General features: G+C 35.0%; 1 protein-coding gene across 1 annotated transcript in view; it reads right to left on the bottom strand.

Annotated features, from left to right (window-relative positions):
- Positions 1–16,238, bottom strand: part of MUC19 (mucin 19, oligomeric (gene/pseudogene)) — a gene marked incomplete in the record, with an annotated part of 177,364 nt that overhangs the window by 99,740 nt on the left and 61,386 nt on the right. The window contains 8 exon segments of the mRNA NM_173600.2: positions 4,980–5,045; positions 5,429–5,563; positions 5,805–5,879; positions 6,520–6,597; positions 6,815–6,898; positions 7,513–7,578; positions 10,685–10,783; positions 12,249–12,287. Of these exon segments, the coding sequence (NP_775871.2) occupies positions 4,980–5,045; positions 5,429–5,563; positions 5,805–5,879; positions 6,520–6,597; positions 6,815–6,898; positions 7,513–7,578; positions 10,685–10,783; positions 12,249–12,287 (642 nt within the window).

Below are 16,238 nucleotides of genomic sequence, written 5' to 3'. Positions count from 1 at the left end.
AGAGATAGGGGTCTCACTGTGTTCCTAGGCTGCTCTTAAGCTCCTGGGCTCAAGCAGTCTGCTGGCCTCAGCCTCCCAAAGTACTGGGATCTCAGGCGTGAGCACTTCATCCAGCCGTGATTTAATTATTGTATTTCTTTTCTCTTACATTTAAAATCTTGATTTCTAATAACATTCATATAACTACTAATTGTTTTATTCTGTAATATATAAAAAACCATTTCAAAGTGAGAACACTCATGTAACTACTAAGAAGAAAATTACTGAATGAAGTTTAAAATTTCCTAGCAGTCTTTTTGCCATTAAAATACATGATACTAGCATATACTGTCTAATTACTGTGTGTTAAAGTCACGTGAAATAATTATTTTCTCCATGTGATTATAATTTGATATTCAATTAGGTTCACTTGTTTTGGTTGGTTTTCAGTTTTAGGTTTTGCTTTTTTTATTTTGATTTAATTGTGTTTTTAAAAATACTTATGACATTTTCCTTTTTGAAAGCCAAAATTATATTTAAAAGAATACTCAGAGAACTCAAAATTCTGCTGTTCTGATTTGTTTCCTATAAGTAATGATTTTCACTAGTTTTTAGTTTATCTTCTGTGTTTTTTGTATACATATTTGCATATGTATATATAATTCATATCCTTACAAAACATATATACATATATGTACACACACATACACACATCCCTCTTTTTTCATAAAGGTATAAATGGTATATACAATTCTGATTTGTTTTTTTCCTTTACAATAAATTCTGGAAATAACTAGATCAGTCCATAGAGATCTTTCTCACTCTTCTATTAGGATGGTCTAGTGCTGCTTTTTGTCATCTTTTATTCAATGTGTCTTTAATGAGTTGTTTCCAGGCTCTTTCTATAAAAAAACAATGCCGGTATGAAAAGCTTATACATATGTTATTTTATACTTTGGTCGTCTAGCTTCAGGAGCACTAAAAGCGGGATTTCTGGGTCAAAGGATAAACGAGTCTGTAATTCTGTTAGATTTTGCCAAGTTATCCTCCTCCGGGCTGTAACATTTTGTGCTCCCACCAGCAATGCGCAGAGCACCACCTGTTTCTTTCCAGAACTGTCAACAGGGCTGTTGTCACACTTTTGAATTTCTGCCAATCTAAAAAGTGAGAAATGTTATCTCAGTGTAGTTTTGATTTGCATTTTTCTTGTGTGAAGTTGACCATTTTCTCAGAGGTTTAAGAATCACTTATAGTTCTTTTTCTCTGTAATTCAATTCACATCTTCTATTATTCTAGTTTTTGATTTGCTCTATGCACTTTTTCCCTTTGCTGATTTTGCTTGGCATCCTTTTGTGCAATAAATCATAGCCACAAGTATGATTCTATACTGAGTCTTGTGAGTCCTTCTAGCAAGTCCCAAAACTTGAAGGGCTCTTGGGCACGCTGATATGGATTGCCTTCCCATTTGGTCAAAAATGTTTTTATGTCTTTAAGGAGAGTTTTAAAGTTTTCTTCATGTAAGTTTTATCTTGTTCAGATTATTCCAAGGTAATTTATCTTATTTGTTGTTTGCATAAATTGGAGTTTTCTCTTCAAATATATATTTTAACTTATTATTTGTATTTATGAAGACTTAATTTTTATAGATTAATCTTGTATCTTGGTACCTTATTAAATTATCTTACTGCTTATAGTTTTTCCATTGATTCTCTACAGTTCTGCAGGTACACTATTATATCATCTGTAAATAGAAATACTTTAATATTTTCTATTTCAAATTCCATGCTATCAATTGCTATATAATCCAATTTATTAATAACTCCAGAAACTGTTAAATAATAGTATGATTGCATATCTCCTTACCTTGTTCCTGAAGTTAGTGGAATAGGTTTAGAAATTCCTTATTAAGATGCTACACGTGTGGCTGAGGTATATGTACTTTATATTTATTTATTTATTTATTTTTGTGAGATGGAGTCTCACTCTGTTGCCCAGGTTGGAGTGCAGTGGTGCGATCTCAGCTCACTGTAACCTCCGCCTCCCAGGTTCAAGCAATTCTCCTGCCTCAGCCTCCCGAATAGGTGGGATTACAGGCACCCGCCACCATGCCCAACTAATTTTCGTATTTTTAGTAGAGACGGGGTTTTGCCATGTTGGCCAGGCTGGTCTCAAACTCCTGACCTCAAGTGATCCGCCTGCCTCGGCCTCCAAAAGTGCTTACAGGTGTGAGCCACCAAGTCTGGCCCTGTTTTAAGGAAGTATCCATTCATTCCTATTATTTTGAGTGGTCTTTTTTTCCCATCAGAAATGATTATTCAATGTTTATCAAATACCTTTTTAGCCTCTGTGGGTCGTTTTGTTTCCCTTAGATCTACTATTAATATTATGAATTACATTAAAAGATGCCTTAATTTTGAAAAAGTCACTAAAAATCAGTATTAATAAAAATAATCAAGCATTAGTTTCTTCCTGAATGCTCATTTTTCCTTTTTTGTAAACTGAAGCTTCTTGTACTTAGCTCATGAGATTTAAATAATTCGCTTGACTACTTACTACCTGTTATCTATGAGTACAGCAAGTCCAATTGTTTTTCAGAATACTTTGCATAATTGACTCTTCAGGATTAATTCTTCCAGGTATATGATAGGTTATTTCACTACATAGATTTAGGGGTTTTTTTCTAAATTCAGAATGTTTTTCCTTATTTATAATTTTAAATATTAGTTCTGTTTCATTGCTTTTTCTTCTCCAGATAAGGCAATAATATATCTTGGATACTTTTGTTTGTTTCCTAAAACTATATCATTCTCTAGCCCATTATACCTTTTCTGAAAGTGTCTGCAATATTTCAGGGGTAGGGTTTACCTCTTCTCAGCTCTATCCTCTAATATCCTTGCTGTATTTTCAGTTTTATTTATTCTCAATGGAACACCTTGCTATTTGGTCTTTTGAGATAATTTTTCTTTTTCTTCAATTTTCTCCTGGGTTTTCACCAATTCCAATTTAACATTCCTGCTGTTTATCTATTTCCAGTCTTAATTTTTAATCTGTAATTTTGATGTATCTTTGTAGCTGCGGTTGTTTCCTTAGTTATTTTACGTTAATGTTATGTTTTTGTATTCTTTTGCTTCATGACTAGATCTTTAGAATTTGCTTGCTATTGATGCAAAGTTTTTGAAAATGTATATAAAGGAATAGCTGTGTATCGATACTGGAATTTCTTTATTATTATTATTATTATTATTATTATTATTGTTTTGTGGGCCAGTAATAGCGGGAGATTCTACGCAGGGGGCAGCAGGGAGGCTTCAGTATACTTCCCAGATTTCTCAGATAAAGGGCTCCCCTCTTACGTTCTTACAGTGAGGGAGCTTCGTTTATAAGTGGCACGTTTTCCTTGTCTGTCTTCTGATGCTTTCATCACTATCTTGTTTTATTGAGACCCTTATTTTTCCATACCTATTTTTTTCCTTTGGCACCCAGGCTCCAAGGGTTGCTCCCCTGTCCAAAGACTTCCATGCATTCTCCAGTACTCTTCCAACTCCATTCATGAGGGCTCTCTGACCTGCCAGGTCCCAGATTTTCTCTCAGCATTTTCCACTCAAGTTGTGGGGCTTTCCTTTTGAGGCTCAACTCTAGTTGATTGAACCACTAGAATCATGGTATTCTACCACTATTAGGACCTCTCTATACTTCTCTATTTTCTGTGATGCCCTTACCTATATTTCAGCCCTATGGTGAGCCTCAGAGCCATCGTTCCCAGTTTTTGGAGTCTGGCTCTTCTCTGTCTCCTCTACACACCGTAGGTGTGGGCTCTGTTTTGATCTTTATGATTTGAAGAAAGAGGTATCTATAGACTCTAATTTATGCAGCCACTATTTTCCTGGTTTTTTTTTTTTTAATTTTTCCATTGGTTTCTTGAGCTTAAATCCTATTCGATTCTACTAGTGTCAGTGCAAATTAAGGATCAGGTTGATACTATGACTAATTAAATTACATTCTGCTTGTGATAAAAGGATTTTTAGTGTGTTTGAATATTTAACCAGGTCATCAGATATTTACAACAGAGATATAATATGTAAGAAATTAGGTTAAGGAAGGTTCTTCACAGATTCAGCTTACTCACTTGCTTCATTTCCAGAGACGAATTTAGGGTGAACTATGTGTAATAAATGGTGCTTTCAAGTCCTTCTACTTGAAGACTATAATCATTTATATTGAGAACATGTGTGTAGTAGGTCATACCTGCTTGGCTATATAATATAAAAGAGTGAAATATCTCTCTGACTTTGCAGTCTCTTAACAGACTGCCTCTGATGTGCATCATATTCTGTTTTAATGCTTATTCAATAATAAACCTATATTTTATTCTGTACTACCTTTGTGCAGGGGGTTCTGGATTCGAAGAACATTTTGTTTTTAATCCTCCTTCCCCAAAACCTGAATAACTACTTTTTATTCCCTTGCAGTTGGATAGATTCTTAAAATTTCACTCAGCTTCCTTGTATTTTGAGTTTTTGTTCAAGTTGAGGCATACAGACACAGCTTGTAGTGCACTGATTATAATACATTCTTTTCAAAATAGAATAATTCTGTTGTTTTAATCAAATTAATCAGTCACTTTACTAGAATTGCCTCTCAAGTCTTACTCCAATGCGTGTCATTGAACAATTCCTCCACTTTGATTATCTTTTGCCTTGCATGGTTTTGCTTTTGTGTGTATTATAAATATTAATTTCTTTTGCTCAGAAATGAAGTTCTATGAGAACAAATACCTTACTCAACTCCTCTTTTATGTTGTCTGTATCCCCCAGGATAATACTGAACACACAACAAATATTTCTTGATTTATTTCTGATCTTCTGCAGTTTTGACATTACACAAATAATAATAATTAAATTCCCCAGGAAAACTTGTCTCCGACAAAATTTTAATTTTGTAATTTAAAAAAAATTACACTTCTACTGTCTAGATTTATTCTGATTATGCTCTTTCCATACCCAATGCTCCAGAAGTGTTTTCACCAGCAGCTCCAGTGGTGGCTACATTTCCCCATTCAGTTGTTCCTAATTGAAAAGAGCAACAGTGCTCAGTCTGCATCAGAGTTTTCAAAATCATGAAATAAAAATACAGGGCACCCAGTTAAATATGAATCCAAGACAAACAATAAACACTGTGTTTTGATTATTGCATGGGACATACTCATTCTAAAAGAACTGTTCCTGATTTGTGTGAAATTCAAATTAACTGGTTTCCTATATTTTCTCTGGCAAGCCTAGTCTACATAAAAGGTTACAATGAAGTAACTCTTTGAACAAATTTCAGGGTTTCTTTAAAGAGGTAGGTGGTCTACTTAAACTATCCATGATCATTTGTTGTAAAATTACATCCCTTCTAAATTCACTTAAACTTATAAGAATCTGAAGTTCCAACTAGGTTTCTGACTCACCACCACTAAAGTGACCAGGTGAGCCCGGGCTTGGCCTGGTGAGTTTCCCAGGTGGACTGGAACCAGTGAAAGATGTTTTAGCTGTGATTTCACTGTCAGATCCAGCAGTAGATCCAAGAGACTGTCCTGTTACACCTGACAAACACAGTATTGGGAGTGCATATACATTATTGTGACAACCCAGTGCCATAGTAGTTTTGAAGGAAATATTTAGAGAAAGCATAAATTAAAACTTTTCTTGAAAAATGTTAATAAGTTATATACCATTCTATCTTTTGTTGGATGGCATTTATACTTAGTGAAATTTGCAGAGGTCTGATGAAATATTGTCCTTTTCACCAAAAGCCACAGCCTCGGAATGACATCCTCTACTCACCTGACATGCCTTCAGATGATGTCGCTTCACTGCTTGTGGCTCCAGTTTTTCCACCCACTGAGGGTCCAGTAGTTCCTTTCAAAATAGACAATAAATATGTATCATGATCTTTGATTTAGCAGAACATAGGGTGCTACTCTCTGCTTTCAAAATACCTTTTGTTTACACTTCTTCATTTCCAGAAATGGCTCATTCTTTCCAAAAATTGATCATAAGAATCGTATATGATTGTTGGCATCCCTCAGAGTGCTTATTTACTTATTCCTTGTAAATAAGCTTGTTTATTATTTACTTGTTCAATATTCAGATATTTGAACCTAGCGGTTCTCAACCCAGGTTGCATGTGGGACCCATGAGGCTTTTAAAAAATATTTAATGCCTGGTCCCTTCTTCCAGGGACAGATTCAATTAGTCTGTGAAGGATTCTTCAATATGTATTTTCAAACATTTCTCTAGTTGATTCTAATTTGTAGTTAGGATTGCAAACTATGACCCTAGCCCCACTCCAGACTCACAGACTCAGAAGTTCCAGCACAGGAACCTCTGTCTGAATCTGCATGGCCGATTACTACCTGCAATACCTGTGGTCAGTAACTGGGCTTCCTAACTCCAGTTCTTCTCATTCTTTACAGTGCTGCTAAATAAAGAAAATGTGGGCAGATCCACATGCTCCATTTTACTCCTGCACACTCACTGACTTTTCCCTTTTACTTACCTGATTTGCTGCTTTCAGAGCTTGTGGCTGAGGCTCCAGGGCTGGCAGTGATGGAGCCTGCAGAAACTCCTGTACTTCCTGAAACCAAGACAGGAGCAGGTATGCATGTTATTACTTCTGTTACTATGACTACTTGGAAGTTTCCAGAAAAAGGAAGTGAAAGAAACTATCCCTCCAACTTTCCTCAGCCCTGCATTCTAATACTAGTTCTAGCCTGAATTTACACAGCATCACTTAGTGTGGGAGGTATGGTTGGGAGCTTCTGAGACATTATGTCCAGCCTGGTTGATCTTACCAGAAACTGTGGCTCCAGGGCCTGCTTCTCCAGGGGTACTGCCACCTCCGACTGCAGGGGTTTCTCCAGATACCCTCGGTGTGCCTAATTTTTTATCATGGAAAAAAACAATGTCTGCTAAGAAAGTTAAATCCTTATAAAAGTGACCTAAAATATACATTTTTTTCCTTTAAAAAATGAATCTATCTCATAAATATCCTAAGTTCTTGTTCAAGGTAAATCAGATAAATCAGGAAACTCTGATATTGTACTGATTATAATAAAGGAGTCTTTCTTTGTAAAATATAGTAATCATGCAGATAATTCATTGTTCAACATTGAGTAGTTCAGCATTGAATTATCTTGTCTCTTCTTACTAGAATTGCCTTATGCTCCAGCATGCATCTTTTATTTGTTTGATTAACTCCTGCCTTTCTTAGTCTTTATCATCTACATCTGTAGGAATATTTATTCCTTCCTCTCTATAGTAAAGTAGAGTGAGAACAAATGTATGTCCCTATTCTTTTCTTGTATCCCGCAGAGAATCTATCACAGTATTAGATATACAGCATATACTTGTTGGTATAGTTCTGATCTTCTGGACACACAGCCTTACATAATGTTTGGATTCCCCAAGAAACCTTGTTTCTGACTAACTTTTGAGCAGAAAGGTCACGTGTCCATAGGACAGCATCATGATGATTTTGCTCTTCCAGTACCTGCTCTCTCAGATGTATTTTCACTAGCAGCTCCAGTGGTGGCTGCATCCACTCCTCCAGTTGTTCCTACTTGGAAGAATAATGGTGCTTAATATATATGGATAGTTAGCAAAAAAAATTCTTTCAGGATATTCAGTTTCATGTCGTTTTCCTAAAATATCGTCCTTGGTTTTCTTTACTTAATCTCGTTATCGTATTCTGGGGTCTTGGGAAAGCTTGTGTTAGACCCCAATCACAGCCCCCAAAAGGGTCTCTGTCTTGCCTGCTGGGTTCCCAGGGCTGGTGGCCCCAGTGCCTGACACTCCAGGTGTGCTTCCCCTGCCTGCTCCTGTGGTAGTGCCCATGGATCTTCCAGTTGTACCTGACAAACACAGTAGCAGTAATTTCAACATATGGTACTTCTGAAGGAAAAGACTGGGAGATTCAAGTCAAATTTCAAGTTTCTTGAGCAGCTTACATGTTTTGCTTATGCCCATTTATCAGGTGCTAAAGCATGTTTTGACTACACCCATTTAACAAGATCTAAAACACGTGTCCTGACTTGCGTGATTGTCCTGGGGTTGTAGCTCCTTTGCTTGGTCCCCTGGGTGTGTTGCCCTCCTCTCCTCTCCTTGTTAGGGCAGGAGGGCCTCTGGTTACTTTTGATTTTAAAAATATATATATTTTTAAAAATTCCCTGGCTGGGCGCAGTGGCTCACACCTGTAATCCCAGCACTTTTGGAGGCAGAGGCAGGTGGCTCACCTGAGGTCAGGAGTTCAAGACCAGCCTGGCGAACATGGCGAAACCCTGTCTCTACTAAAAATACAAAAATTAACCGGGCCTGGTGGCGGGTGCCTGTACTCAGGAGGCTGAAGCAGGAAAATCGCTTGAACCCGGGAGGCGGAGGTTGCAGTAAGCAAAGATCACACCACTACACTCCAGCCTGGGCAACGAGAATGAAACTCCATCTCAAAAAAAAAAAAAAAAAAATGTCCTACACATAAACCAACTCATTTACTCTTATAAAATTCCTCTGAAACAAGTCATAATATTATTCTTATTTATTAGATGTGATTAAATGATTTGCTTCAGGTCACCAAGTTGGTTGACAGCAGATCCAGGAGCCAAATTCAAGCAGTCTACCTACAGTTAATACTTCTACCTGTGCTTCTCAAACAATCTGTAGCAAAAGATCAATTTTGTAAAATTTCCAGTGTGTGCTAGATGGATACTTTGAAAAAGGCCATAAAATAGAGAAATGAAATTTTTAAAAGTAAAACCATATGAAACACAAGTCTTTATTTAATAGACAAAAATCATCCTGTAAAATTGCTATGTTTTTAAATGCTTAGTCTCTGTTTCATTTCTTATTACATCAAAAACTGGTAACAATCTGGCTTGTATTCATCTGTCGACCAAACTTTGAGTAGCCCTGCTCAAAATCCTTATACATACTGCCTCATAACCAAAAGAGATAGCTGATTGACTTATCATTATTATCCAAGTAATTTTGATGCAGGTTTTAAGAAATGTAAACAAATGGTCATTACTCTAAAATTTAAGTTTACTGACCTAATTGGAATGAACCAGTTTCTTAATTTGTGCTAGTGTACATTGATTATATCCTTTAAACCATTAATTGTTACGTAAATTATATCTTATTCCAAAAAGTGTTTAAGTTATAACGTTTAAATCAAGAAAATTGCTAAGGGAAAGTAAATGTAGAAAAAATAAAATTAGGCCATGGATTTGTTAGCAAATGCATAAAGAGAAATAGTTCCATGTATACACTAAAGAAATGGCTTTTAACCCACGTATGTATGTAAAGAAGTTTTGATTTATATTAAAAGCAATCAGAACAATTGAAGAATTGTAAGTAGTGGAGTGACATGATGATAGTTGAGATTTTGGAAGTCCATTCTGCCATGGTATTGACGGCAGCATAGATTGGGAGGGAAGCGAGAAAGGAGTGGAAATGTTAGAGCAGTAGTTTTCCACTTTGATGAGCATCTGTTGCATGGACTTGTTAGTAAAGTGTTTGCTGGGCTCCACTCCAATAGCTTCTGATTTTAGGCAGGTGGGCCCAGATATTTTCATTTCTAACGAATTCCCAGAAGATGCTGATGCTGCTGGTCCAGAAACCACACTTTAAACACCATTGTGTTTGGAGGAAGGTGAGCAAGGTGGAGGCTAGGTTGAAAATGTTTAACATCTGAACAAAAGCAGAGGCAAATTGATGCAGAGAAGAAACTTAAGAGATACTTAAAATTAGTAGCTGATTGCATGGTGGACAGGGGTGAATTGTGGCTTTTTTGTTTTCTATCCAAATTACCTCTGCTTAAGGAAACCAATAATATTTTATTCATGAAACCAACAGTAGTTAAAATTCAGTCAATGATGTGTACGGCAAGCATATCCTCATTGGCTTTTGTTGGATCTAGGTTTTTATACACACACAGAGCTGTGGAGCTAGCTATTCCACACCAGACAGGATTCTGTGTTCTAAACCTGCCTCTTCCAGCTTGGAGACCTTTTATTATTTTCTCACCTACTGCGAATAACAACAGATAACTACCGTGGTGTAATTGTTGATTAAATTACATACTACATATTTGAAGACAATTCAGAAATCTTCCTGTGCCACAGAAACATATCATTAGTATTTTATTAAATATTAATCATTGAATTTTTCTCCATGGTCATTTAGCTGACTTCAATAGCTCTGACATTTGGCCCTGTTATATAATGTTGTACTCAGGGTAAAGTTGTTGCCAAGTTGAAACAGAGGATTCCTAGTAGAAATCGGCTATGGAAGAGATAGTATTTGACTCATTTATTTGTCTCATCTGTTCTGAAGTCACTTAAATTTCCATGTTCAGCTCCTGTGGTTATACCTGGTAACACTCCAGTTGTCCCTGATAAATGTAAAGAAAAAACAAACATCTGGCTAAAAAAAAAAAAAAAATGCATAGGTGCCAACAACTATCGAGGTCATGATCACATATAATTGTAACATGATATACTTTAAGGAAGCAACTTGTGAAAAGACTAAAGATATGACATTTCAATTACATATGAGGAATAATCACCTAACTCTAATACTTTTATTTTGCAAAATATTGTCCTGAGTAGCATCTCCTAAAATGAGTTGCTTAGCTGAGGCTGGTATACTTTGTTCTGAATTTAATTTACCTGCCATGCCTGAAGCACCAGTGACGGTGGGGCTCACTACTCCTGTCATGCCTGCATTTCCAGATGTTGAGATGATGGGAACTGAAGTTTCAGTAATGCCTGAGAAAACATAAAATTAACTTCTCATCTGAAGTCTATTAGGACTTTATTGCCATGGAGTGAGTTAACTGTTTAATCAATTTTACTATAGAAAATAGAATCAGTAAAGCCAGTGACTTTCTGCCTTGAGTTCCCTAAGAATTTCTTTTAATATCATTGCCTTTTTTTCTTTTTTACAAATATAGCTTTCTGCATCTTGAACTGAGTCACACTAGGTCTTCATATATTTTTCTAAATAACTGTTTTAAAATAAGCAGAACCTACAGCCACTGTGGAGAACAGTTTGGAGGTTCCTCCAAAAACTAAATATTGAGCTACCATATGATCCAGCAATCCCACTGCTGAGCATATAGCCAAAAGAAAGAAAATCAGTGTACCAAAGACATATCTGCACTCTTATATTTGTGACAGCACTGTTTACAATAGTTAAGATCTAGAAGCAACCTAAGTGTCCAGCAACAGATGACTGGATAAACAATATACGAAATGGAGTACTATTCAGCCATAAAAAAGAATGGGATTCAGTCATTTGCAACAACATGGATGGAATGAGAGATCATTATGTTAAGTGAAATAAACCAGGCACAGAAAGACAAACATCACATGTTCTTACTTTGTGGGATCTAGAAAAATCAAATCCATTGAACTCATGACCACAGAATGTAGAAGGATGGTTACTAGAGCTAGGAAGTGTAGTGAGGGGTGAGGGAGAGGTGGGGATGGTTAATGGGTACAAAAAAATTAAAAGAATGAATAAGACCTACTATTTGATAGCACAATAGGGTGACTATAGCCAATAATAATTATATATTTTAAAATAAGGAACATAATTGGATTATTTAGAACACAAAGGGTAAATGCTTGAGGGGATGGATACCCCATTCTCCATGATGTGCTTATTTCACATGACATGCCTGTATCAAAATATCTCATGTATGCTATATATGTATATATCTACTATGTATCCACATTTTTGAAAATAATTTTTAAAATTTAAAAATAAAATAAAATAAGCAGATCTTTATGCCCTAATCACTGTTGCCTGGCACTGATAATAACAATAAAGAAACACTATCATGAAATAGTTAATTGCTACTTTTAGGCTTAGAAAGCTAAGAGAGTAACATATGTTATTAGATGTGCAACCCATATTCTTTAAAAAAAAATTAAAGATATTTACTACTGTTGCAGATGCTATGTTAATAGTTAATGATAAAGAAGAAAATCAAACTAGAAACCATGTTTCTATAGCCAGTCAATATAAACTGATCGAAAACAAGTAAAATTCAAGGTTTTTAAGAAAAATTTAAAACCAGTGGTAAAAACCTAGTAAACTACTTGTTTGAAATATTTTTTCTAAAGCCAAACTGTCCTATAAATTCTTTCTTAAAACCCAAAGTGACTAATAATTTATAGAGTTGGATATTTTTATTTAACATGTAAAACCAGGAATTAATATACTGACCTGTAGTAAAAGGTTCGGTGAGAGGACCTAGAGTTGTTCCTAAAAAGGAAAACAGAAATGTGAATTTTTCCAACCTCAAGGAAAAAATACTAGAGAGATTGTTCTGCTGTCGTGTAGTTTTCAATATAGAGTAATTTGTAATATATTTAGTGTTTAGAGTTAATAATAAATTTATATTTCATTTTTAAAATAGTGACATACATGATGTACTTTCCAATGTATATATACACACACATACACATATGCTGAATTCTACTAAATACAAAGTAAATGGAATGTATATCAACAATGGCAATAAATTCTCTGTTAAGCAGAGGCTGATTTTTGCAGTTTATGGTTTTTTCAACATTTCTTAGCTTCTGGTTGTCTGCAGCTTGGATATTTTTATATTGAGTAACACTTAGTCTATAAGGACTTGGAGGGAAAAGGAGAAATATTTTTTAAAATTTATATTTATGATTTGATATAGCAGGTTTATAAAAATAAATTTGAATTTACCCTAAACAGCTGTTGTGGATTATCAGTGAACTCCTGAAGGAAGAGGCCATGTTTTACCTTTGTATTCCCAATGCCTGCCCATTGCCAGGGATGTGATAAAACTCATCAAATGTTTATTGAGGGCCTATGCACTTAAAAATAAGCCTTTATTAATTTGAGGTTTTCATAAATAATAAATAGTCAGGTATTTTCTCTATTTCAGTGTTAATTTTCATTGAAAAATCCATGGAAATCCATTGCTTACTTTATGTAAACAATACCATTTTGCAATTTTATAGTGTTTTGGAACTTCAAAAAAAGAAGGAGAGAAACAAACTTCTCACACAATCTATTTGATCCTCACTCCTCATCCAGCCACACTGGTCTTTCTATCTTTTCTACCTGCTGTTTGCAGTTCTCTGTACTTGGAACATGGTTCTTTCCTCCTCTTCTCCTAGTTGAGCTTTCATTGGTCAGTTCTCAACTCAATCATCTTTTCTTCAGTCTTTCCTGAGCTCCTTGACAGGATTAAATCCCTTCCCTCTCATCCCATGCCCTTTTAGGTACTCCATAGCTCTTGTGTTGATGTAAGTTTCCATTTGTTTTTGTAATTACTTAATTGATATCCATATTCCTGACTAGTCTGTAGGCTTTATAAAGGCAGAAACCACATCAATTTTATTCACTTTAGTATCTCCAAGGCCTATAAGAGTGCCTAGCACATAATAAGAGCTTGATAAGTATTTGTTCATAGACTGAATGAATGAATGGAGTAAAAATATTTTACCCATTTTTCTTATAGAGAATGGGGCTCAGAAAAGTTGAGTGATTTGTTCAAGATCACACTGCTGGTTAGTGACAAAACTAGGACTCAAATGTAAGTCACCCAGTAATCAGGACTGTGACCTATACTGCTTTTTATGTTATTCTGCCTGTGTGTATAACACATCACCTCTTGCACTTTTCAAGTTTTCTTAATTACCCCTTCATCTTGTTAATGGAAATATTAAAAATTAGACTAGAAATTGTAGAACACAATATCAAGTAAACAATAAAATATCCTGTCTCCCCAAATTTCTTTACAGAATGTATATTTAAATAAGTATGGTAAGTAGTTTAAGAAAAAGTTTTTGTGACAGTTCTCAAGAGCTGACAAGGTTTAGTTAAGAATTTTCAAAATCAGTATCACACAGACTCCACCAACTGACCAAATCAGATCTTAATATCTTTTCTCACTAATGAGCACAATAGTTGGACATTTGAATCAAAGTATCTTGCTGATCTAATTGTAAGAATAGCATGGAAAGATTGTTATGCCATGATCCACAGAGACTATCAAGATTAGAATGATGTGGAAGAATAGATAGACCCTGATATTCCCAAAGATTTTGGTGCAGATTCCATTTCCCAGTATTGATTTAAACTTTATGGAATTCCAGTGATCCAGTTTGAGCACTTTCAAATTGAAGACGATTACATTTAATTAAAAGCAGCATTATCATGTGGAATAAAATCAAATCTCCAATATTTACACATCTAAATAAATATGCTCTAATCAACATGGATTCAAGAACACAGTTGCACATCGTAGGTGGTAGTGCGCTGATCATCACTATTTTTACCATATGCACAGAAGAACATATTTATAGGCCTTTCCTTATAATTGATGTTGCTGAGATGGCAACATGCTCACGTGCATTTCGAGGACCGATCTTTAATCAGGGTCGTAGAATTATCTAAACTAGGCACAGACTGGAGTGCATACCAGTCAGGCTACTATGATATAGCTCCTTTTTCCCATGAATGAATTTCAGAAGATGTAATCTGAAATTATTGATACAGCAATAAAAGTAGGCATAAGCCTTTGCTGACAGGAATACATGAGAACTCACTTTTCTTCTGGGTTTAATTACCAAAACTGATAGAGACAGCATTCCCGTTCTCATTAATTTTTACATCCATAACCATTACAGTTTCAACTGATTTTTCCATTACTTGCAAATGAACATACATGCTGGAAGTACTTGATACTGTCAATTATATGCATCAGCTTCTTTGTGGACAAGACGTAAATAGTAATAGGAGGAGCTGCCTTTACTGAAACACTAAAAGCTCTGCATGCCTACATGGTAGTATGATACTCCACCCTAAAAACTTTTCCAAGTGGCTTTCTCCACTTGTGTTTCACCTCGTTATAAACTTAATATAAAGTCTTTTAATTAATTTTCTAGCTACCACTAAGTTTTTAAATTACTTCTAAGAATCGTTTTAATTTTTACAAGGAAAAAATATTTTGGCATTTTTTTCAATGAATTTTATTTTACTTAAAATACATGTCTGAAAGATAAGCTTCAGGAGTATCCATAACATTTCGCCTTATAAACAACAAATTCAGTACTGCAGAGCTATAGCTTTTGCAAAATATCTTATTCTGAAAAAATTTAAAAATTCATAAAATTGGCTTTAATTCAGGAAGCAGTATGTTTCTGATTAGTAACTGAAAAAGTATTAAACTCATTCACCTAGTTAATTATTCCTTATAAAATTCACCAATAATAAAGTTGCCTTTACTGAATACTTACTATGTATTACACTAAGCTGCACTATTACATTTACTGTTTTCTCAAATCTTTCCATGTAGAGATTATTATTAGTTCCCACTTCACAGATGAGAACACTTAAACCTCAGGCTGCTTGAGGGACTTAAAACAGGGTCAAACTTTAAGGGGAGGGATTCAAATTCTTATTTCTCGAATTCCACATTCCACTATACTCATCTACCTCCCTTTGCCTGATGCGATTCTGTTTTTTTATGATTGATGCTATTTTATAATAAGCACATTGTATAAACAAAATTTATATATAACTTAACAGTGGTAACATTCTAAGATTTTAAATTTTTGAGCAAATATGCATTTTAACAGATTATATTGTTGTGTAACAGAAACCCACTTTTAAATTATATGTCAGTATCATACATACTCATTCAAAAGGGGGATTTTTTGTTTTAATATAAACCTACTAAACAACCTATGATTTTAACGTAAGTCCCAATTTGAAATCAGAATCTGTAATTACATGTTGCTACTTCAATAACTGATTTAAATTAAATTCAACTTCATCCTCTTCTTTAAACATGGAAACACAGGGGCATTAGGACTGGAGTCTAGGAAATATGTTCTGAATTTTAATTATCTCTGCAACTTATTAGCAAGTAACCTTGAATGTATAACTTAACCTCTTTGTGTTTCCATTTATTCATTTGTAAATAGGGGGAAATGATGGCATCACTTCAGGGAATTTTCTGTATCAAATCAGATAGTATATGCCATATACGCAAAGTAGCGCTCAGTAAATATTAGCTCTGTATCAAGATCAGTCAATCTAAAGAGGAAAAGCCCCATAACTGCATAATTTTTCTTCTAAAAATAGCATGTTTATTAGAATGGTTAGGCATCTCTCAGGGTATTTTAGCCCTTTGAAAGCATTCACTGTATGGAAAAGAAAATTGAT

This window comes from Homo sapiens, chromosome 12 (genome assembly GCF_000001405.40).
Source record: "Homo sapiens chromosome 12, GRCh38.p14 Primary Assembly".
NCBI classification, from domain to species: Eukaryota; Metazoa; Chordata; class Mammalia; order Primates; family Hominidae; genus Homo; species Homo sapiens.
The sequence above is the reverse complement of the archived record's forward strand: the minus strand, read 5'-3'. Positions and strand labels throughout refer to the sequence as shown.